Source organism: Homo sapiens, chromosome 3 (genome assembly GCF_000001405.40).
Source record: "Homo sapiens chromosome 3, GRCh38.p14 Primary Assembly".
NCBI classification, from domain to species: domain Eukaryota; kingdom Metazoa; phylum Chordata; class Mammalia; order Primates; family Hominidae; genus Homo; species Homo sapiens.
Genome location: NC_000003.12, coordinates 137,792,100 through 137,816,051, shown reverse-complemented (window position 1 = coordinate 137,816,051; position 23,952 = coordinate 137,792,100). Strand labels below are relative to the sequence as shown.

Here is a 23,952-nt window from a genome sequence, read left to right as displayed (position 1 = left end):
CAGGAGACCTGATAGAGGGCAGCAGGGGTGCCAGAGGCAGGAGGCCAGTGGGTGGCTGTGCATCTAGGAGAACAGACACGTACGATGGGCAGCAGGCGGCGGATGGAGCTGAAAAGACTCGAGAGTGAGTGGGCTGTGATGAGTTCCAGATTTTTCATCAGATTTGAGTGGGGTGGGAGTGGGAGTGCCTGTCACAGAGGTTAGGGACACAACAGGAAGAGTTTGTGAGGCAGATGATGACTTTGGAGGGCACCTAGGTTGCTGTATTCATTGGGCTGGTAGACGTGGGGATCTGTAACTGGGGGGACAGGTCAGGAGCGATCTGGGCTGGAGTGGGAAATTTAGGGTCCTCTGCATACAGTTGGTAGTTGAATCCCTGTGGATGGATGAGCCCACCCAGGGAGGTATGAGCAGTCAGTGCCCTGGGTACAACTGTGGTTAAGGGCAGGGAAAAAGGCGCCCGAGAAGCAGGTATAAGGAGTGGCTGGCACTCTCTCCTGACCTTGTGAAAAGTTTGAGCAACTTGGCCGACCTAGCCCTTTCCACATGCCCTGAAGTAGCGAGCCTGTCACCGGCCCCTCAGTTCCCATCACAGGAGTGTGAGGCGACCGAGCCAGATAGGCGGCCTGTGCAGGCCTGGACAGACAGCCATAGCCTGCAGAAGCTCCATCCTCTTAGGGCCAGGGAAGGCCATCCCATGAACATGCCAGAGTACTTCAGAGAGAGCTGCACCTGGGCTCCCTCCTCCTCCTGACAACTCTATTTTGTTGGCACCACACATAAATGTGACATTATGAGGAAAATTGGGGTCCCATGACAATTGCTCCTCCAGAGGCTTTATGATTTTAAAAAACATATGTAAGCTGTACAGTGACCATGGGGTCTGAAATTGTAGGTTCTAATTTGCAAAAGGGAAGATATTACCTAATAGTTACAAGGCTAGGCTTTGGAGGCAGGTTGCCTGGGTTTACCTTCAGGCCCTGCCATTTACTACCTATAAAGGTTTGGGCAGATTAGTTAACTTCCCCAGGCCTCAGCTTTCTCATCTGTAAAAGAGGAACAATAATTTGTTGTGAGGTTTCAAAAAGATGGTCCATTTAAAGCTCTTAATATGTACTAACTGCTCAATCAATGTTAGCTGGTTTTAAGCCAGTGTGAGGATGACCTAAAGACAGCACAGGTCAGGCTGGTCAGAGGGGCACCAGGAAGGGGGACTGGCCTCTGGTCAGAGCTGGAGGGTTCTCATCCCAGGATCCCTGGGGTTGATGAGGTCAGGGAAATCTGGCCACCTTTGTTCAGTGAATTATCACTTCCCAGATGTGTGGGCCTGTTTCTTCCAAACACCCAAGGCTGCTCAATAGCTAAGTTGCTATTTGCATTTTCTGATTTAGTTAATGAAATAGTTCGTAGTTTTACAATAACTCTTCATAAAAAGCTGCTATTTTATTTGTTCATTTGATTAACAGCTGAGTATTATACTTTCTAAGCAAATGAAAGAGAGAAAATTTAGGGGTGGCTTGGGCTCTTTGTGGAATGACAAGAGATACTGATATTTTACACTTGAAATAATTCTATATATCTATTCTTACAGTAAATAAGAGAACATCTTTTATTTGGTTTTAGGATAGCTAAGAGACATCAGGTGTCAGAAATTAAATAATTGTGGAGGAAAAGTCAAAATTGGGAATAGGACTTGTGTGGTGGCTCATGCCTGTAATCGCAACAGTTTGGGAGGCTAAGATAGGAGGATCGACTGAGCCCAGAAGTTCAAGACCAGCCTGGGAAACATGGGGAGACACCATCTCTACTAAATAAATAAATAAATAAGCTGGACAGGGTGGTGTATGACTGTGGTCCCAGCTTCTTCGGAGGCTGAGGCAGGAGGATTGCTTGAGTCCAGGAGGTCAAGGATGCAGTGAGCTGTGATTGAGCCATTGCACTCCAGCCTGGGTGACAGAGTAAGACCACTGTTTCAACAACAACAACTGGGAGTATCCAAATATGAGTTGATTTTTAAAAATCTAAATGGGGAAGGCTGGTATTTTTAAATTTCCATGGTAAAGGATATTACCACCAATTACAGAACAACAGGACTCTAATGGCAGCATAACCTGAATATACTGTTTGTGAAAATCTTTTGTAAGCTCTCCATGGTCACTGTATATTTTTTACTATGTATTTTTTTTATTGTGGTAAAATACATGTAATATAAAACTTCCATTTTAACAATTTAAAAATGTATAATTTAGTGGCGTTAAGTACATTCACACTGTCACCTCTATTTAATCCAGAATGTTTCTGTCACCCTGAAAGGAAGCCCCATAGCCATTGAGCAGTCACTACTCATTCCATCCTCCCCGCTGCCCCTGCTAACCACTAATCTATTGTCTGTCTCTATGATTTGCCTATTCTGGATATTTCCTATAAAAGGAATCATATAATGACTGTATTTTAAAAATATGACTTAACTCAGTCTGTCTTTTTATTAAAGGTAAAGCGTTAGACGTGGAGGATTATGTACTCTCCTTCCTAAGACTCTGTTAAAGAAATATAATATATAAACCAACAAGGTCACAGGGATTGATAGAGAAGACATCAGTGACAGGAAACTTAATTTTAGATGCTGGAAGGTAAATAGAAAAGCAGAGAGGGAAGCCATTGCCTGAAGTGTGGATTGAACAGAGAGCCAATTTGCCCTTAGGATCCTGGGGAGTAACTGGGAGGTGCCATTTAAGAAGTGAGGAGGCATAGGGCTGAAGACAGGGGATTAACACTAAAGATGAACTCACATCAGTCAACCCTGGTCTTCCATCACCCACCACCTCATCTAGAGAATGTCAGTGATCAGGTGTCCACTCCATCATGTGGCTCAGAGGTTTTTCTCTGGATGGTCCTGTGTGTTGACACCTAGGGGTGCCCCAGCAGCCCTGCTTGCTCAGTCTAAAGCAGGGCTCACCAGTCAGCAAGCCTTACCTAGTGACCTTCAGCTAGTTTCAGCACTAAGTTTCCAAAATAATTAATTTTAAGAGGGCTCACATTAATAATTTTATCATGAATTTTCAGAAACTCAGGGATAAAAGACAATCCTAAAAGCTTCCAGAGCAGAAAGAAAAAGAACATGTAGAAAAAACAAGAATCAAAATGGCAACAAACTCCTCAGCATCAGTACTATTAGATATTAGAATATAATGGTGCAATTTGGGAGGCCGAGGTAGGTAGATAACTTGAGCTGAGGAGTTCAAGACCAGCCTGGCCAACATGGCAAAACCCTATCTCTACTAAAAATACAAAAATTAGCCAGGAGCGGTAGCCTGCACCTGTAATCCCAGGTACTCAGGAGGCTAAGGGTTAAGTCATGAGAATCGCTTGAACCCCAGGAGGCAGAGATTGTGCCACTGCACTCAAGCCTGGGTGACAGAACGAGACCCTGACTCAGAAAAAAAAAAAGAATACAGTGGTACAGTGTCTCAAAAAATGTGAAGGCAAATTATTTTCAACCTAGAATTCTACATTCATCAGACTACCAATCAAACGTGAGGAGAAAAATAACAACATTTTATTACATGCAAAGTTACAGATACCTTCTCCTCTTAGATGTGCTTGAGTAAAACTAGAGGTGAAACAAGACGAGAGTAGTAACTGCATGCAGGAGGATGGCAGTCAACCCAGCACAGCAGTGGACGGACTTTCCAGGACAGCGACTGTGCAGCAGGTCCAGAGTGTACTTGGTGCAGATTGGAGAGGGGGATCTGGGAAAGGGGTCTTCCGGAAAGAGGGGACTCAATGCAATTCCTGATATTATGATGTAAACACATGCTATGGGTATGCTAATGACAGAAAGACAGCAGGAAATGAGTAAGGCAATGAGACACCAGACAAGACAAAACACTATACAAGAGAGGAAATGTAGTTATGCACCTTCCTTTGCTTTGGAGAGGACACGTTTACTGTGTCATAATGATGTAAGCTACCTATTATTGATTTAACAAAAATGGTGAAATAACTATATTAGGAGGACATGGATGGGTGAGGAGGGGACAGCCTAAGAAAGTTAAACATCCATTAATCTTAACACCATAATCAATAGATAATGTCAACAGTGGATAAATCATTGAAATAGTGGTAGAAGCACATTATCTGGAAATATAGAAGTAACTAGTAGAAAAAAATAGCTTAAACAAGTAAAAAACAAATGCTGGTGTTGGGGAAACAGAAATGAGGATGGAGGTGGCTAGGATAAAGGGCCATTGTTTCCTTTTTGATAAAGTGCAATTTTTAAAAAACATACATGTATTACATTGATAAAAAATGAAGCAAATAATAAAAAGTCAACTCAAGCTGAGGTATGAGAAAGTATGTGAATGGCATTTAAAAGCCAATTTATTTGTGATTAAGACAGCTATGCTATACAACTCTAGACAATTTTTTAAAATTTCAAATCCTATGACAAATGAAAAATGGCTTCCTTAGAAAAGATGAAACTGCACCCAACAGAAATGAGCTTCTATCCATTTCCAGAAGAAAATTCATTGCTCATTATGAGAATACTTATAGGGTGTCTCTATGAACCTACAACCTGAGTTGTTAAAATTTAACAGTTTTAAAACTTTACAAAGGCCATGAAAAGCCTTTATAATGCTGTAAATTCCACCCTGGGTGGAGGCATGAGGTCCATACAAATTCTGGCTTCCTTCAACTTGAAGTAACTCAGCATGTAAATCCTCAGGAATCAAGATGAATTCTAAAAGTGAAATACTTCTACTTGTGTAGAAAAAGCAGTTGAGCAGCATGTAGGTCGGTAAGAAAGAGATTCTAAATTCCACTCAGCATATGCATACACCAGAAAAGGGGTATGGTCCCAGTGTGGACCCAGTATGGTCCAGAAAAGGGGTTGGGGCTGATATAAGGGCACATATATATGGTTGGCCAGGGAGTAGGAAAGAGACCTAAACTCCCATCTATCATAGTGAGAGCTGAATAAATTATCATCTTTGATGAGAGTAGTCAACAAATAATGCCTAAAAATGAGAAAATCATGGATTAGCAATATAATATGTTATTTAGAAACATAGAGGTAAATCCTAAAATAATCAAATAATCAGCCCCCAAGAAATTGTAGGGGCTGAGTAAATTGGGCAGGAGTAAATGTTCCTCTCTGCCACAGTGAGCCCTTCTTGGCTCTAAAATGCCATGGACATCACAAGGTGTATTAGTCAGCTGTAGCTGCCATAACAAAATTCCACAGACTGGGTGACTTAAACTACAGAAATTTATTTCTCATGGTTCTGAAGAATGGAGTCCAAGATCAAGGTAATGGCAGGCTCAGCTTCTCCTGAGGTCTCTGTCCTTGTCTTGCAGATGGCTGTCTTCTATCTATGTCTTCACATAGCCTTATCTATGTGCAGAGGCCCCCTGGTGTATCTTCCTCTTCTTACAAGAATGCCAGTCTTATTGGATTAGGGCCCCATCCTTATGCTCTCACTTAACCTTAATTACCTCTTAAAAGTTCCTTTCTCCAAATACAGTCACACTGGGGTTTAGGGCTTCAATACATGAGTTTTGGGGAGACACAATTCAGCTCATAACACAAGTGATTGGGAAAGAGTTGTACTATTCTAGAATAAGTTCTGTTTAACTCCAATGGGAACCAAATGACCAAATGGCCCTTCTTCAGAGCCTCCTACTGAAGAACTTGCATTAGCCAAGCCTAGGACCACAAAGCTGTGCACTAGAAGCTACATCTCTTGATGACAATGTTTGTCAACAACCTCAGGCTTCCATGGAGAAGAGCCCCCTAGAGAGGGATCCTGCATGATGGTGTCACAGTGTGAATACATGAGACACATAATCAGATGTGCTTCTGAACCAATTTCCCAAGTTTCAGTGATTTGGATGAGCGAACGTGTCAAGGCATGGGAGACTGACTTAAGCAGAGTTTTGCGTTTTTGCTTTCCACAGACGGAATGTCCAAGCTGCATCACAATTCTGAAGTCCAAGGAGGAATCTCCAATTCTCCAGTTCCTGTGAAGACAAATGGATCTTGGATAGGAATACCTGGGCACCTGCTTGGTGACCAGAGGTTGTGCAGGACAGGAAAATATTCTTATTTTATTCTATGCTTTGGCTGTAATAATGTAAACATGGAATATTAATTTCACCAAAACTAAGATTATTCTAGTGGAAGGCTCATGGCTGAGAAGGGCACATATATATGGTTGGCCAGGGAGTAGGAAAGAGACCTAAACCCCCATCTCTCATAGTGAGAGCTCAATAAATTAGCATCTTTGATAGAGAGTAGTCAACAAATAATGCCTAAAAATGAAAAATCATGAATCAGCAATATAGATATGTTATTTAGAAACATAGAGGAAAATCCTAAAATAATCAGAAAATAATCAGCAAAAACAGGAAAACATGGTTGCCTGTGGGAAGGAGGAAGAAAGAGATGAGGAAAAGTCTGTTGTTTTGTTTTATTTTATTTTATTAATTTTTTTAGAGACAGTATCTTACTATTTTTCCCAGGCTGGTCTCAAACTCCTGGCCTCAAACTGTCCTCCTGCCTCAGCTTCCTGAGTAGCTGGGATTACAGGCATCAGTCACCACACCTGGCTTGTTTTAGTTTATGTTTTAAACAACATATATTATAGAAGTAGCTGAAACTTTATATTTTGGGCATGTGTTAGTTTGATTAAAAATAAACCAATCAAATTGTAAGGGGGAAAATGAAGGAAAAATAAATCATGCTGACCCAATTTCATTTATTTTAAGATGACTATATAGAAAAAGGTCATAGTCACAGACAAAACAGCACTGTCAGTAATAGCAATAACAATAAGACAACATGCATCAGTTAATACTTTGGTAAGAAAGTTCACTTATTTGATAAGTATTTATTGAGCATTCAGTATGTGCCAGGCCATGGTAATTATAATAGTTGAGATTCCTGCTCTCTTAGATTTTCTATTCTAGTGGGGCAGACAGAAAAGTGCATAAATAATCAAATAAGTAAGATTTTTTAAAATAATGTTTAGTGTTTTGAGGAAAATAAAGGATAGTAGAGTGGAGAGTAACTGGGAGAAAGAAATGATTATTCAGACTGGATGGTCAGGGAAGGCTTCTTTAAAGAAGTAAGGTTTCAGCTCAGACCTGAGCAATGAAGAGGCAGCCATGGGAGAGGCAGAGATAACGTGTTCTGAGCTTAGAACATACAAAGGCCCTGAGGTAGGAACACACTTGGTGTGTCTGAGGAATAGCCAGGAAGCCAATGTGACTGGGTGGTAGTGAGCGGTGGGGGAAGGGAGCCTGCGATGGGTATATGAAGCAGGCAGAAACCAAATCCTGCTGGGCCTCGTAGGTGCTTGTAAAGAGATTTATTTCCAAGTTTGATGGGAAGTAACTGGAGGATTTTCAGCAGAGTAGTATCAGTATCTGATTTTTTTCTTTTAAAAAATGAGTCTGATTTTCTGGGGCTGGATTGGGGCAGAGGATGGAAACCGGGGGCCAGCGTGGGACAGGAAGTTTAAACACTTTAACAGAATTCCAGACGGGGTGAAGGCTGTGGAGGTAGAAACCAGTACGCAGATTTGGGCTGAGAATCTTGGTTTAAGTGGAGATCTAACGGGCAACTAAAAGGCCAGTGGGGAACCTTGGAGGGAGAGAGGTAGAAGGAAGGAATTCTACTCCTGCAGCCAGTCTCCCCGAATTCCCAGGCTCCCTTTGACATATGTGAACAGACGCTCTGGTCAGGGGCCGCTGAGGGACCTGAGTGATTATGCAGGAAATAAAGACTTGCCAAATTGCTTTAAACTCAGCCTGTCTCCATCCCGGCGTTCACCACACTTGACGTAAACGTGTAACTGAGCTTGTAAATAACTGTGCTTGGAGGCAGAGCTGGGAATTACGCCCCTCTAGACAGCTATTCAGAGGCTGAGAGAATAGGGCCCACTCGCTGTAGTGCTATGCATTAAAAAGCACTTATGCTGCTAAAACCAGCATTAGAATTGCACATAAACATTGCTGTCATACTCTCAATGGGACTCTGGAGTCCAAGTGGGACTCTACGAATCTGCAGAGGGGAGAAAAGCCATCTCAGGCAGTGTGATGATCTCTCCCCAGCAGCCCAGCAAGCAACATCACCTCTTTTCTGTGGAGAATCCCTTCCATAAATGGGGAGAAAAATGAGCTTATTTCCAAGCCAAGATTAAACTGGGTCCATACTGCATGGAGATGATAGGCTTCTGAGAAAAGAGAAATGAAACCAAGCCAAGAAAGCATATCCATCCAGAAGTGGCAGGAAGGGATGGCCCAGGTGTTCTTAGGAGTTACCTGAACCTCCAAGCACAGTGCCTGGCACATAGCAAGTTGTGAATGAATGAATGAATGTGAGATTCATACATTCCCAAAGTGTAGTCTTAATATTTTATTTATTCTATTTCTGTTTAAGAATTAAATAAACCTGCTGGGACGAGTATCCACAAACAGCCTTAGGGGTTACATTTGGGCAGGCTGCACCCACTCAGAAATTTGTGCTGCATACACAGTGCATCCATCCCATTCCAGTAATTCATCCCCTAATGTGATCTGAAGTCTAGAATTATCCATGGCTGAACAGAAGGAAATTAGTCAAGATTAAATAGTCATCTGGAGTATATCTCCAGTGGACCACAGTCCATCCTAAAGGAAATAATTGCTGGGATTAGCTGGCTGTTCAGATAATTGTCAACTCTCAGTTTTACTTGGTTCCTAAAGAAGTGAAAAGAGATATTTCTAAAATCTCAAGTGCCCAGCTGGGAGGGGAAAGACATTGGATAAGAATGCTGCTCTGGGCCGGGCGCGGTGGCTCACGCCTGTAATCCCAGCACTTTGGGAGGCCGAGGCGGGCGGATCATGAGGTCAGGAGATCGAGACCATCCCGGCTAAAACGGTGAAACCCCGTCTCTACTAAAAATACAAAAAATTAGCCGGGCGTAGTGGCGCGCGCCTGTAGTCCCAGCTACTTGGGAGGCTGAGGCAGGAGAATGGCGTGAACCCGGGAGGCGGAGCTTGCAGTGAGCCGAGATCCCGCCACTGCACTCCAGCCTGGGCGACAGAGCGAGACTCCGTCTCAAAAAAAAAAAAGAATGCTGCTCTGGTGTGAGGCCAGCCTTTATGCAGTGTGTCTCATTCCCCATCTATCAGAAGGAATCAAATTATTACTAGTCTTGCATGGATGCTACAAGGATAAATAAGTCAGTATGTAAGGACACTCTATCTCAAGCCCAACATATGCAAAGCTTCTCATGGAAGAGAAAAAAGATAATTAAAAACAAACAAGCAAACAAAATCCCTATGAAGCCCTAAAGCAGATGTCCCAGAATTTAGTACTACAGAGTCCTTCACTGGGCTTTGTTGACCATTAGCACCATGTTGATTCTTATTTAATATGCAGTTATCAGTAGTAATGTATTTATCATTGTGCAACAAATTAAAAGCAACACACAATAAGAAAGTTTGGACCTTAAAAGAAAGGTATAATGTTCTCTAGGAAAGAGATGGTCAGCCCTACCAAAAATCAGAGATAAATGTATCCAACCTTTTACAAAGAGAAGGTGTTTATGTTCTGTTTGTATATCTAAAAGAGATACAGAATAAAAAAGAAGAAAATGAGAGAGCAAATTACACTGAAGTAGCTGAAACTTTATATTTTGAGCATGTATTAGTTTGATTAAAAATAAACCAATCAGATTGTAAGGGGGAAAATGAAGGAAAAATAGCCTTTGGCAATAGCCATCAAGACATGGTTATGTTTCTGGTCCTTCTTTCCTAAATACAAGATGTTTCAGAAATTTGTAGAACTTTTCAGTAATTTGACTATTAAAAATGTGAAAAATCAGAAAGTTTTAGGAATCTCTGTGGAGTTCTGGAAATGTTCTGTATTGTGATCTACAATGGCAGTTACATAGGTATATACTTACATAAAAATATAGACCTATTTAAGATTTGTGCACTTACTATATGTATGTTATACATATATATATAAATCCTAGACAATGAAGTATTAAATTCTGGAAAAATTCATTTATATGGAACATCTTATTTCCCAGTGTTGGCATATAAATGAAGGATCATTTTGCTTCCTCATACGTATTAATTGTAAAGGTAGCCACCACTGACAGAGTATTTACCAAGTACCATACCCTATGCTAATGCCTGTAAAATTAACTCATTTAGTCTTCAAAAATTCCAGTCCTCAATAAAAACTGAGGTTCAGAGAAGCTAAAGTGTAAACTCCTCAACAACAGGGAACTGTATCTGTGATTGCAGCTTGTCTGTCTTCGGAATCATTGTATCCCCACCATGTAGACTGGTGTCTGGAATATGGTTAGTACTCAATGAACATTTGTGAAGTGAAAAATATTTTGTCCAATGTCGAGTAACTAATTTTTAAATTTTCTTTTTTTAACTTTTATTTGAAGCTCAGGGGTACATGTGCAAATTTGTCACATAGGTAAACTTGTGTCATGAGGGTTTTTTGTAAAGATTATTTCATCATCAGGTATTAAGCCTCATACTCATTAGCTGTTTTTCTGGATCCTCTCCCTCCTCCCACTCTCCATCCTCTGATAGGCCCCAGTGTGTGTTATTCCCCTCTATGTGTCCATGTGTTCTCATCATTTAGCTCTCACTTATAAGTGAGAACATGCAGTATTTGGTTTTCTGTTCCTGTGTTAGTTTGCTAAGGTTTATGGCCTCCAGTTCCATCCATGTTCCTGCAAAGGACATGACTTTGTTCTTTTTTATGGCTGCATAGTATTCCATGGTGTATATGTACTACATTTTCTTTATCCAGTCTATCACCGATGGGCATTTAGGTTGAGTCCATGTCTTTGCTATTGTGTATAGTGATGCAATGAACATATGCTTGCGTGTGTCTTAATAATAGAATGATTTATATTCCTTCGGGTATATGGGATTGTTGGGTTGAATCACCACACTGTCTTCCACAATGTTTGAACTAATTTAAACTCCCACCAACAGTGTAAAAACATTCCTTTTTCTCCACAACCTTGCCAGCATCTGTTGTTTTTTGACTTTTTCATCATAGCCTTTCTGACTAGTGTGAGATGGTATCTGGTGGTCTTGGTTTGCATTTCTCTGATGATCAGTGATGTTGAGCTTTTTTTTTTCATATGATTGTTGACTGTATGTATGTCTTCATTTGAAAAGTGTCTGTTCAGGCAGGGTGCAGTGGCTCATGCCTGTAATCCCAGCACTTTGGGAGGCTGAGGCAGGTGGATCACCTGAGGTTAGGAGTTTGAGACCAGCCTGGCCAAAATGGTGAAATCCAAGTTGCTGCAAAAGACTATTATATTCCTTTTTATGGCTGAGTAGTATTCCATGGTGTATATATGTCATGTAACTGATATTGGAAGACTCAGAATTGGACCTTGTGTCTGACTGCAAAGCCCAAATTCTTTACCATTCAATGATATTCACTCTCAATTAAAATATTTGAGTCTGTATAATAGCCAGCCTAAAACCATTGTAAACAAACTTTAGGAATACCAAATTGAAGTAAGCCATACCTACAAAAAAGGTATATGAAACATAGCTGTAAGTTTTTAAAATAGTAGTAAAATGAACACCATGTGTCCACCACAGTTAAGAAGTATATCATCATAAGGACCTTAGCAGCCCTGTATCTCCTTCCATAGATCTCTAGAGGTAACCACACCTGAATTTTGTGCTTATCAATTCTTTGCCTTTCTAGATTGTTTTAGCACATGTTGATATCTTTAAATCATACAGTGTTTTGTTTTCTTCTTGGTTTTGAACTATAAATAGCAGATGACTTTTTCACTCCTCTCACTACATTGGTCTTTAATCTTAATGAGTGACCCAGTCCTTTACTTTCTCTACATTCTTTGAATCCATCAGCCCACTTATTATACAGCATGTTTTAAAAAAATTAGTAATTCTCTTCCAAATATCATAATCTCTTTTCTCTCTTTCTCTTTTCATTGAACCTGTTTAGTAGAGTGCTTGTAAATGTTCAACAGGAAGCTTGGGTGTGCATGTATTGATTTGTACCATTTGCTAATTTTCTTGGTGTAAATTTTCCTACTGTCAATGATTTCAAGCTATCACTAGGATGCAACTGAACATGGGTTTGGAAGAGATGCACACAATTGGTTCTTGCAAGCTGGTACAAACCAGCTCCAATATATCCTTGAATCTACTACAAAAAAACCTCAATCCTGGATAAGACCAACTAAACATTTTCAGGCCAAACAAAACCAGAAATCAGAGGGCAAAAGACCTTCAATTTAGTCGAAGCAGGTCAGCATCTTCAGGGCAGAGAATGGAGTTGTATTCGTTTTCTATTCCTGCTGTAACAAATTACCACAAATTTGGTTGCTTAAGCAACAAAAGTCTATCCTCTTACAGTTCTGTAGGCCAAAAGTTGGAAATGAGCCCTAGAAAGCTAAAATCAAGGTATCAGCAGATCTATGCTCCTGCAAGTTTCTAAGGGAGAATGAGTTTCCTTGCCTTTATTCTAGAGTCAAGAGCTTCATTCATTGCATTCCTTGGCTCATGGCCCCTTCCTTTATCTTCAGTGCCAGCAGATATACAGCTTCTCTCGCTTATTTCTCACAGTCAGCAAATCTTCTTCTGCCTCCCTCTTGTAAAGACACTGTGATCACATTTAGGGCTTCATGGGATAATCCAGGATAGTCTACCCTTATCACATCTTCATACTTCCTCTTGCCATAGATGGTAACATTCACAGGTTCCAGAGATTGTGATCTGGATATCTTTGGGGGCCATTATTCAGGTTTCCACAAGGGTAGGGAAGGGAAGACAATGAATCTGGAAAAGTAAGTGGAAGGTGTCAAGCAAAATCCACCCTTCTGCCCCATAGCATCCCTTCCTTCCCTTCCTTGAGGTGAAAGGCTCATGTCTCTGACACTGGAAATACGTAAAGTCCCGTCAGGTACCATGTTGTTGTGCAGTGATGTCAATTTGGTCATACCTTTTTTTTAAAAAAAACTTCTTTATTTTCCATTTTCCACATATGCTAAAATTTGGTTGTACTTTCTTCTGAAATCTAAAGCATTAGACACCACCAATGTTCTTCATACATAGTATGAGGAAAAGGGGTAGGAGCCCATCAATTAATATACAGGGTGGCTTTTATAGTCCCTCTTTCTATAACTGGTGTCCTGAGGTCCATGTTGAGAATTAAAGATACCAGGGAATCCAGGGTTCTTGCTGCTTCCGAGGTCCACTTAGCAGGGGTACAGTTAGCATAATGTCATTGCTGTGATGAAGTAGGATGATGTTCTGTGCGCTGCCAAAATGACAGATGTTCTGTGGGCTGCCAAAATGACAGACATCTCTCTACTACACAGCTGCTGCACAGGATGCATGGGCGACTATTCTAAGACATCCACCACGTTCCTGGGTCGCACTTTGGCGTGAGGCATGACTCCTCTCTAATATTCTGTCCCAACTAAGGGAGGGTGTGTCAGATTCAGCCCAAGGTGTGAGAGGTGAGTATGGGTAAAGCAGCCCAGAGGGTCTTTTATCTCAGCTGCAGAGAGTAGGATAAACTGGTTCTACAAGTTGCCGGCTGAGTTTTTCTATCTTACACCCAGACAAGTTGTTTTTGAACTTAAGAACCATAATTTGCTGCTATTGTCTACCTGGTTTCACAGTGACCCCTTCTCTCAAATCAGTATGTGCTTCACATCTAACTGGGTTGGCTGGGATAAGGGAAAGCCCTCAGGGTATGAGGAAGGAAATTCACTGAGTGCTGAGCAGGGTGGGAATGCAAGGAACATATCAGTGGACTCTTTGAAATATTATCCACACCATCTCTCTCATTTCACATCACCCTCCAGCGGTGGCTCTCTTTTGTCACCATTTTCAGCCAAACTTGGTGAGATCTCTTCATTTCTCCACCTGCCATTCACTCCTCAACCCACTCCATTCAGACTTACACAACATCTCTGTCCTCAACACCTCCAAGTTAGCTAGGACTTCTGCCTCCCGGTGAACATGTTTCAGCCCTTATCTTACTTGCCCTTTCAGCCTCAATCTTTCACTGTTTGCTTGTGTTGGATGGTCTCTGTTGCCCCTCTAGATCTGTTCTTTATCCTTGCCACCCTGTTCTATGCCCCAGATTACATCAACAGGCCCCCATGCCTTCTGAGTAACGTTTAGGTTTGGCCAGTGAAAGTCCAGGGAGGAGATCAGAGAGAAGAGAGAAAGGTCGGGGTATTTATTCCCTTGGCTTATTCCCCACCAGGCTTAGTTTGGCAATTGCTGGGCAGCCCGCTCTGACAGCTACAGCTCTACTGGATTCAGGTAGAATCCCTCTCTCCTCATTCCCCTTTGAGCCTAGGGGTGGTAAGACTAACTTGTTGCTGGCCCTGGTGTGCTTCAATATTCCGTGCTGGTTTTCCTTAACACTGTTCACCCCTTTGCAAATAATCCATTCATTAAACACTTTCGTCACCTCTTTTTGATATGCCAATATATATTGATTTCTTTTTGCTTGAAACATATTTTACTGGGCATCATGTCAGCTCATTGTCCTGCTTTCATCCAACCTTTCTGTCCCCTCCTCTGTCTCCTTGGCAGATTTCTCCTATTTCACTGAATCATAAATTTTGGAATTCCGTTAAGTCCGTAGCTCTCTTTTCTTCCTACTGTATTCCCTTCTAAGGAACCGTCTTCAATATCCAAATTTTCTAACTACATGTAGGCCAATGACTCACAAACTTGTTGCTCCAGCCACACCTGTCATTTAGACCCAGACATATAATTCAACTTCCTTTTTTCGACAGTTTCATTCATTAAATCAGTGAATATTTTTCTAGAGTCTATTGTGTTCCAGGCCCTGTTTTAGAGTTTTAAAATACTTAAAAAGCCCTCAAACTCTACTCGTCCCAATGGAATCTATGATTTATCACCCCCTTCCCCAACCCTCTTCCTCTTCCATTGTTTCCTACTCCAGTGAGTGACACCAACATCACCCATCCAACCCCACAATTAGGAACCTAGGGGACATCTTTAATGGCTTCCCTTTTCTCATTCTCCATAGCTGACTCATCAAGTGCTATCAAATTATCACCTAAATGTTTCTTGAATCTAACCAATTTTCTCTATCTCTGCCACCACTACCATGATACAAGTTTCTTTTTTTTTTAACCAGTACAGCTTTAACTGCAGTAGTCTCATTTCTTGTTCCCTACTCCAATAAATAGTGAACTTTATGAGGCACAAATCTGTCCATGCTATATTCAGCCTCAGTTTAAGATCTCCCAATACCTTCTGCTTGCTCTTATACAAAGCCACTGGAGGCCTGCCTCCTGCCCACCTTTCCAGCCTCTTCTCAGACTGCACTCTCTTCAGCTCCCTGTTCTCTAGCCCTTCTTGTCTTCCTGGAATTGACATGTTTCTCCCTGTTACGGAATCTTGACCCTTATTATTCCCTTTGTTTTTTGACACTCTTCCCACATACTCTACTTTACTCAATAGCAAATGGTTATCTTTTAGCCCTCAGCTAAAATGTTGCGTCCTCAAAGATGCCTTTCCTGGTGCAATAGAGTTTCAAACTACACAGCTCTGTTATTGATTTGAAATAATAATAAATATATTTTGGTTTCTACCCCCTTGTTTCTGACATAGAGCTCCTAAAACTCTTGTAGATGAGAGTGCTTTAGGAGGGTCTTTTTTTTCTAATATTTGGTCTTTGATCCCCAGTTCCTGACACAGAGCCCCAAAGAGTTTCTAATTTCCTGAGTGATAGGAGTGTCTGACACAGAGCTCCTAAATCTCTTGGAATTTCCTGGGTGATAGGAGTGTTTTTGTTGTTGTTGTTCAGTAAGGCAACTCTTGGTGGGCTCCTAGATGGATGCAGAAAGTCCAAGCTATGATTGTAAGCTTGGAGCTTTCAGTCCCATCTCCATTCTCTGACAGAGGGGAATGGAGCTCGAAATAGGGTTAATAATTGAGTATGACTATATGATGAAGCTGCCATAAAAAATCCCCAAAGTATGAGGTTTGGAGAGCTTGCACATTGGTGAACAAAAACACATCCATGACCAGGAGGGTGGTGCACCCCAGCTCCATGCGGAGGGAGGTCCTGCGCTTAGGACTCTTCTGAACCTTGCCTTCCATATCCTTTCATCTGGCCGTTCATCTGTATCCTTTGTAGTATCTTTATATCAGCCAGTATACCTAAGTGTTTTCCTGAGTTCTGTGAGCCATTCTAGCAAAAGATTAAACCTGAGGAGGGGGTTGTGGGAATCTTCAATTTATAGCCAGTTGGTAAGAGTACAGGTCACAACCTGGCACTTGTGACTAGCATCTGAAGTGGGGGGAAGTCATGTGGGATTGAACTCCTCACTTATGAGGTCTGTGCTAAGTCTGCACTAGTGTCAGAATTGAATTGAATTGTAGGACACCTATTTGATGTCAGAGAACTGGTTGGTATGGAAAAAATTCCACATGTCTTGTGTCTGAAGTGAAGTATTGAGAGTGGTGTATGAGAGGAAAACCAGTTGGTTTCTTCCTGTATTCATTGACTTGGAAAGTACCAGACACCACTTCTTTATACCATTTATCACAGATGTAATTCTATGTTAATTTGCATGCTACTTTGAATAATAGACTGTAACTGTACTTGAGAGACCTTATGTGTTATGTTCAACATCACATTCATGAGTGCCTGGCACATAGCAGGTGCTCAATAAATAGCTGTGCAATGAAAGGGTGAAGGAAGAGTTTTACTGAGATTGAGGCTTGTTATAGTAAGAATAAGATCTAGGCTTGCATCAGTGTCATTTCCTCCTTAATTCAGTTTCTCAGAAGTTTTGGAGGAAGTCAGGTAGTTCAATAAATGTTGGTGCCATGAGACAATAGCCTTGGCCTGTGAGCTGTTCTGAGAGATGTTCATATCCCATAGCCAGTCCCCAAAGCCTCAAAAGAAAAATGCTTCGTCAATTTGTCACTTGATCCCTGAAGGATAGACTGTATTGATAAGAAATGCATGTTATTTAATGATTTAATTACCTTCCTTAGTTTTATTAGAACAATAAAACCTGGTTTTATCACCAAAATTTAAATTAAAATTCTATTAGAGCAAAATTTGAAGAAATGGAAATGTTGAGTTATGAACAGGTGCTTTTCTCACTAATCCTTGACTACTTAGTATCAGTCACAATTTTTCCTAATTTATTTCTCTTTAAAAGGTGGACAGGACTTTTCAGGTTAATTCCTTACGTGCTTTAACTTCATTTAGGGCTTGCCCACTGATACACTGACAGTGATAGAACTCTGGCCAACTCTGCGTCAGAAACCTTAGAGGGCAACTCCTGATAATCTCTCACTTCTAATTTGACTTCCTTCTAACTTAATCAGAAGAGATGAAAGTCTTTCTCCTAGGATTCCCATTAGAGATAGCTAGTATTTATTGAGCACTCACTATGTGCCAGGCACTGTCCTGGCCCTTTGCACAGATTTTTATTCTTTAATTCTTTCCATAAATTTTTCTTTCCAGATAGAGAAATGAAGGCTCAGGACCTTACAGCTATAACTGGCCCCCAAAACTTATAACTAGCACTTACTGGGGTGAAAAGTCAGTTTCAGAATCCTTGCTTTGGGGCTCTTTCTCTTAATCATTTATGCTGACTTCCTGCATCCTTTTTGATAGAATCTGAAAATAAATTTCTTTCAGTGTATTTGTACGCTTGCTATCATAAAATCCTGTGGTTTTTTTAAATAGTTGGAAAGATGAAGTTTTCCATTTTTCCATCTCTACTGCTTTACCTGTAAGTGTTTTGAGGCATTCTTGAGCCTTGCAAAAGTGGCTTGATAAAATCCAGCCAATTAAGAGATGAATACAAATAAAGAGCTAAAAATAGAGAAGTCATGATAAACAAATTGGTGTTGGGAATTGAATCCATTAAATTTAAACTAAGACTCAACAACTGTGAGAACTATGGCTATGCATCTTGACCAATAAAAACAAGTAAGAATAGATTTAAAATGTGAAGAAGACAATAGGAGGAAAGAAAGGAAGGCGAATTTCCTTAGTTTGTAAATGAATGAATCAATCAATGCTGCCTCAAATTTAAGCATCTGGTTTATTTAAAAAGGTAATGACCCCAGCCTCTAAGAGTGCTTCTTAAACTTTGTTATCAATTTTAGTGCTATATTTAGGGAATCTCTAATAGTGAAAAAGCATTTATCTGAAGTTCAGGCATTTCTTCATTTCATTTTGATTTTTCTTTCTTCTTTAAATTCAATTAAATTTCAATGTAATATTTTTTTCTTAACATTAGTCTATAGCATTATTTTATTTTTATAAAATATTTCTCATGCTTATTCTTTCTCACTCTGAAATAAATGTCTGAAATGAAGTTTATCTATATTAACAATGATTATTTTGGGGTGGAGGAGTTTGGGAATATTTTCCCATATAACTGTAATTCCATTATCACAGCTAACAAAATTAGCAACAATTCCTTAACATCATGTAATTCTCAGTCTATGTGAAAAACTCTCCAAACTATCTTCCAAGTGGTTATTCAAACTAGAGTTCAATCAAGGACCACACATTGCATTTCATTGTTATGTCTGTTAAGTCTCATTGCCTTATTTAATGTTAAACAACCTCCTTCCTTTTATTCCCCTTAACAATAATTGGTCAAAAACCAGGCCACTGGTCCTTTACAGTGTACCACTTTCTGGACATTTGGTCATTTGTGATATCATTTCACTCATTTCCCTAATCTTTGTATTTCTTGTAAACTGAAAGTCAAAACTAAAGACTTGCTTAGTTTCGGCCTAAGTGGTTTTGGCAAGAGCATGTCATAGCTGATGTTGTACTTCACATTGCTTCATTATGGAAGGCGCCTACTGTCTGGTTGTCCCACTGAACACTGAGATAGAGCCTTGAGTTTAGGTGGCAACAGCCAGGTCCCTCCTTTATTAAGTCAGACTTTCCCCCCTGTGACTGGGAAATAATCTTGGGGGTGACGTTTTGGCACCAAACTATCCCATTATGGTTTTAACATGTATTGATGACACATGCATGAATCATTTCTCTTATTAGGGGATACAAAATAGTGATTTTTAAATTCTGTAAATCTATATATTATTAGCTGGGGCTTTACTGTAAAGAAGAATGTTCTATCATCATCTGGTACTAGTTGGAAAGGCAGGCTAATGCCTAATTCTTTCCCATTATTATAGAATTTTAAATATTGTATAATAATGTTATAACTTAATATTATTATATTATTATAATAGCTTCCTTCACTGGTGATGAGTGATTTTCCTTTTGGCTGTCTCTCTTTTGATTATCATTATAGATTCATGGATTCTTATATATTCAATTTACAGCTATCATTTATTTGATGCTTAAATTATCCCAACTTTGACCAGTAGAAAACCCTTCAAGATAATGCCTACATCCTTTTAATATAACTCCATTTTTCTTTGGAAGCTTCCTTGCTTTCTGGGTGCCTTGAGTTGGTTTGTAGAAGAGCAAACACTCATCATTCTTCCAGGTATTGAGAGGAGACATTTACTCAAGCAGGTGTATCTGACGCCCACATTTACATACTTAGCCCAAAGCTGGGTGCTGTGAAAGAACCAAAGATATGTTTCATTATTAGCTTGTGAGAAGCTCATATTCTTGCCACAGAGATGACTAGCACCAAGTACAATTAAGGGAAAGTAGAGGAAAGCGTTTGTTCTGGGTTGACTGATAATCAGGAGGGTGGGGGTACTTCTGACACTGGCCTTGGGGCCAGCCCAGGGCAGATAGTCTCCTAGTTCTGTGAAACCCAGGCTGGGTCCCAGAGTACTCACCTCAAACCCCACCACTGAAACGGCATCTCTGGAAGGTGCTGGGGTTTATTTGAGAGTTTGGCTTTGGAGGTAGCACAAGGTTTCCAGGAAGGGGATTCTGGGGTCGGGGTGGGAAGTAGGTGGGTGAGCTGGTGTGCCACTTCACTTGAAATTTCATGACCTGGAAGGAGTGTTCTCAGTGGGCCACTGATTGGCTCAGGTAATGATTTGTGGCTTCTCTGTCTCACTTTCTATCCACTATGTTGTCAACTTCAAGCAGGCAGCAAGCCTACCTTGTTCACTTTCCTATGTCCAGAGCCCTGCCACCATGACCTGTACATCAATAATTATTTGATGCAAGTTAAAATCTTCTAAAAAATACTTGGAATTTGAAGTAGTCAAGAGGAGAAATAGGCAGAGGATCACAAACTTGATCTTGCAATAGACCTAGAGTTAGGTATAATAGGAGAAAATATAACACAAAATAATCAGATAATACCTCTAATGAACTTGGCTTTGTGCCCAGCAGATAGTAAAAGACTGGCTAAATAATTTTAAAGATAGCACAGCATATTGGATCAACAGCTATCTTCACCATGTTTTTGCTTGTGTAATACTGGTCAAGTTACTTTACCCCCCGAGACTCAGTTTCCTCATCTGTAAAATGGGGACCCATAACAGTGCCAACCTCACAGGGATGTTGTGGGGATTAAATGAGATAATGCATATAAAGTGCTTAACCCAGAGCCTAGCACCAAGTCGCTGTTCCATGTGTGTCAGCTGCCAGTATTTTTACTGGCAGTAGGTGAGGGTGGATGAGATTAATTGTGTCAGATGCTGCAGAGAATTTCAGAAAGTCAGGACTTGGAGACAGCCTTTGAAACTGGAGCAGATGTCATAAGTAAGTCTGAAGAACAGCTTCATTCCAGTGGTGGCCATGAGAGTGAAAGCAAAGTGAAAATGGGGCAATTATGACATTCATCTAATAAGTTTAGCTGAAAATAAAAAAGATTTAGACTGGTAAGTTGATAGAAGAGCAAAAATATGGGTGTTCTGTGATGTTTTAAATAGAGGTGTGACCTTTTTCTATTTGAAGGAAGAAAGGAAGAGTCCAGAACAGAAGGAAAAACTAAAAATAGTGGAAAGATGAGCAATGAATGTGGGCTGAAGTAATAGGGTTCAACACAGACTAATCCCACTTCCTACTGTTTATCACTGGGAAAAGAGAGAGAGAGAGGGAGAGAGAGAGGAGAGGGAATAGATTTTTCTACTCAAACACCACATGGTTCTTCCATTAAAACCCAGTGAGGCTTGAGTCTTGTTTTTGCACTTATTGACCATATGATCTTACTGTGATTACTTAGCCTCTTGAAACTATTTCTTCTTCTGGACAGTGAAGATAATACTGCCAACCTTGCAGGGGTACCTTAAAAATTAGAGATAATGAATATAAAACACAAGTGACTTTGTAGGTAATCAATAAATGATAGTTACTAGGTTATTAGTAGATCATACTAACATTACATCCTCTAATCTCATAAGAAATTTTCTTGAAATTAATGTACTTGTCTTTAAACATATATTTGAAAAATTGTTCAAAGGGATCTTGTAAGGGATAATTTTTAATGTAAATATAATATATTCCATACTGAAAGATGAAGATGGCAATTATAGGATCAGGCTAGCAACTTTGGTGCCCCGTTGTCCTTCTAAAATATAGGTACATTGAACACAGGTGATTCCACAATAAAGGTAGTGATGAGTTGAAAAGGGGCTATAATTCTTAATAGTAACAATAATAATGATGATAATAATAATGGAATGTTATCAGAACTGGAGTTCTACTTAACTGAAGCTTCTGATTAATTTCAGACAGATCAGATAACCCTTATCATTTCTACATTTGTCAAATATCATTCTGTAACATGTGCACCTGCTAGACGTCTATTAAGTGTCATCAATAGGACATAATTTAATCTTTCTTTGGTAATTCAGCATCCTACAGTGCCACAGGTGGTCATTACAAACATTAATAAGAAGTACAGTTCTGTAGGGGGAAATCAAGAAGATTGAAGGCATTAGACTGATTTAGTGCTCACTCCAGGATACCACCTCTTTATAAAGACACACTTTCATGTATTCCTTCTAAAAGAAATTCCAGCTTGTAATGGAAGTTTGTTGTACTCTGGCTAATCTAATTCTCCCTAAGCGGTGTTTATTTCCCTAGGCCCCATGATGTTTCTCTGGAAGTCCATTCTATTTTCTGCCAGGCTCTGGGTTCAGGGGCATCCTTATTTGGTGCTATTAGCTACTTTCTTCCCTAACTTATCACCTTGTCCTAGTTGGGCCCATTATTGAATGTACATTATTGCAATGAAGCAAAATTAAAATATCAGCATAGAACTTTTGTTTAGATACCTAATTATGTGGCAATTAGAATTTTTGTGAGGTGTTTTGACATTTTTACAAGCTTGTACTCGGAAGAGCTAATTTGCATTTCAATATAGAGTTTTACTAGTTGAGAATTCACACCAAGAAGACAGAATTAAAGATTATTTCTGGCGGTGACAGCACTGTAAGGACAGCATGTCTTAGTTGAACAACAGCTTTTTTAGGAACAACCTAGATGCATAGGTTTCTTCTTCCCAAGGGACTCTAACAGGCTTATAGTCTTCAGCTGAACTGTATACGAAGGTTCATCACAGAGAAAGTTTATAAGCTGTTTGTAAAAAAGAAAATAGTCTTATGACAAGAAAGGTAATGTTTTATTGTTAATGTTTTTGCTAAACTACATCATTTCGGTGCTGATTCAAATGTTTTTTCCAAATAACTTTTGGTTTTTAGCATCACTGTGTTTTCTGTCCCAAACTCTAAATCCATCTTTCAGCTGGAAACATCAATTCCCGTAAAGTTCAAAAAGATGTTAGTGAGTTTCGGCAGCAAAGATATTTCCCATATTTAAAAAATTAAATCACAGAGGCCATTAGGTCTGGTGACCACATATCCAGTAAAGTCATTTTTACAAGGATAAATCAAGTCACAAGCATGCCATCACACATGGTACAGGGTTGCCACATTGTTTTATTGGCAAAATTTTTAATTAGGTCTGATATATTAAGAATGCATCTTGTAAATTTACATTTCCAACAACTCTCACCCAATAGGTTCCCAAAGTTTATTCAAGATCTCAGAGACAGGACAAACAGGCACTACAAATTGTCTACCCAAAACCCTCTTGACATCTTCAGTCACCCAGGAGTCCCATTAACCTAGAAGTGAAAGAGCAGAGAGAAGACTCATTTGTGCCTGTAGTTGGGAAAATGCAACTTCACTTTGGGATGAACCTGCAGCATTTTACATGCCCACACGACGGCAGTATTGCCCCAGGATGTTAATGCAACCATCAGGGAGCCTCCTGGACAGCTGGCTGCAGAGCCTGAACTAGGGGAACGTTTTGAATACTGGTGAAAAGCCAAAAAGACACCAAGCCCAGGATTGAAGAGGGTTGCACAGGGAATGTAGGAATCTGGGGAAGTAGAAATCTGGGCCAGCTTCCAATTCAAGGATTGTGTTTGTAGAAATAGTATAATTTTATATATCCAGGTGCTGGCAACTTTTTCAGAAAGTGAAACTTATGAGCCTTTTTGATTTTGAATTACATTTTCCTATGGTTTCTCCTGTCATTTGTTTAGAAAGCAAACTGAGACTAGGGATTTCTTTTAGAAAGAAAGTTTCAGGGCAAAACCATACATCACCCTGACTCAAAAGAATTAATCATTGGAAGACAATAATTTTTCAAGAAAAGCATAAATTAAAAATAAAGAAAAGCATAAATTAAAAACATATATTCATATTTATCAGGGTAGATTTCTTTTTCTTCTTGAGTTTTTAAATGTTTTGGGGCATTAATAGACATTAGCATCAGTTACCTTTACTATTACTACTTTGGATGATTAGAGTATTGCTGGACATGGTAGTTTCTTTTTAAATTTGTTAGTTTAATATATGCCTGGATGTAGTATTTCAACACTTGGGAGGCTCAGTGGTGTGTGTGCAAGTGTGTAACTGTGCTTCTGTGTCATGCTGGGAAATTTATTGTAGAAAGGC

General features: G+C 40.0%; 3 annotated features.

Moving 5' to 3' along the window:
- Nucleotides 624-1,125: an enhancer, noted in NCBI's record as "H3K27ac hESC enhancer chr3:137533769-137534270 (GRCh37/hg19 assembly coordinates)". NCBI's record gives its function as "activates a minimal SCP1, AML or CMV promoter by ChIP-STARR-seq in primed H9 embryonic stem cells {active_cell/tissue: H9 hESC(primed)}" and the evidence as "EXISTENCE:reporter gene assay evidence [ECO:0000049][PMID:30033119]".
- Nucleotides 7,479-7,982: an enhancer, noted in NCBI's record as "H3K27ac-H3K4me1 hESC enhancer chr3:137526912-137527415 (GRCh37/hg19 assembly coordinates)". NCBI's record gives its function as "activates a minimal SCP1, AML or CMV promoter by ChIP-STARR-seq in primed H9 embryonic stem cells {active_cell/tissue: H9 hESC(primed)}" and the evidence as "EXISTENCE:reporter gene assay evidence [ECO:0000049][PMID:30033119]".
- Nucleotides 7,983-8,487: an enhancer, noted in NCBI's record as "H3K27ac-H3K4me1 hESC enhancer chr3:137526407-137526911 (GRCh37/hg19 assembly coordinates)". NCBI's record gives its function as "activates a minimal SCP1, AML or CMV promoter by ChIP-STARR-seq in naive H9 embryonic stem cells {active_cell/tissue: H9 hESC(naive)}" and the evidence as "EXISTENCE:reporter gene assay evidence [ECO:0000049][PMID:30033119]".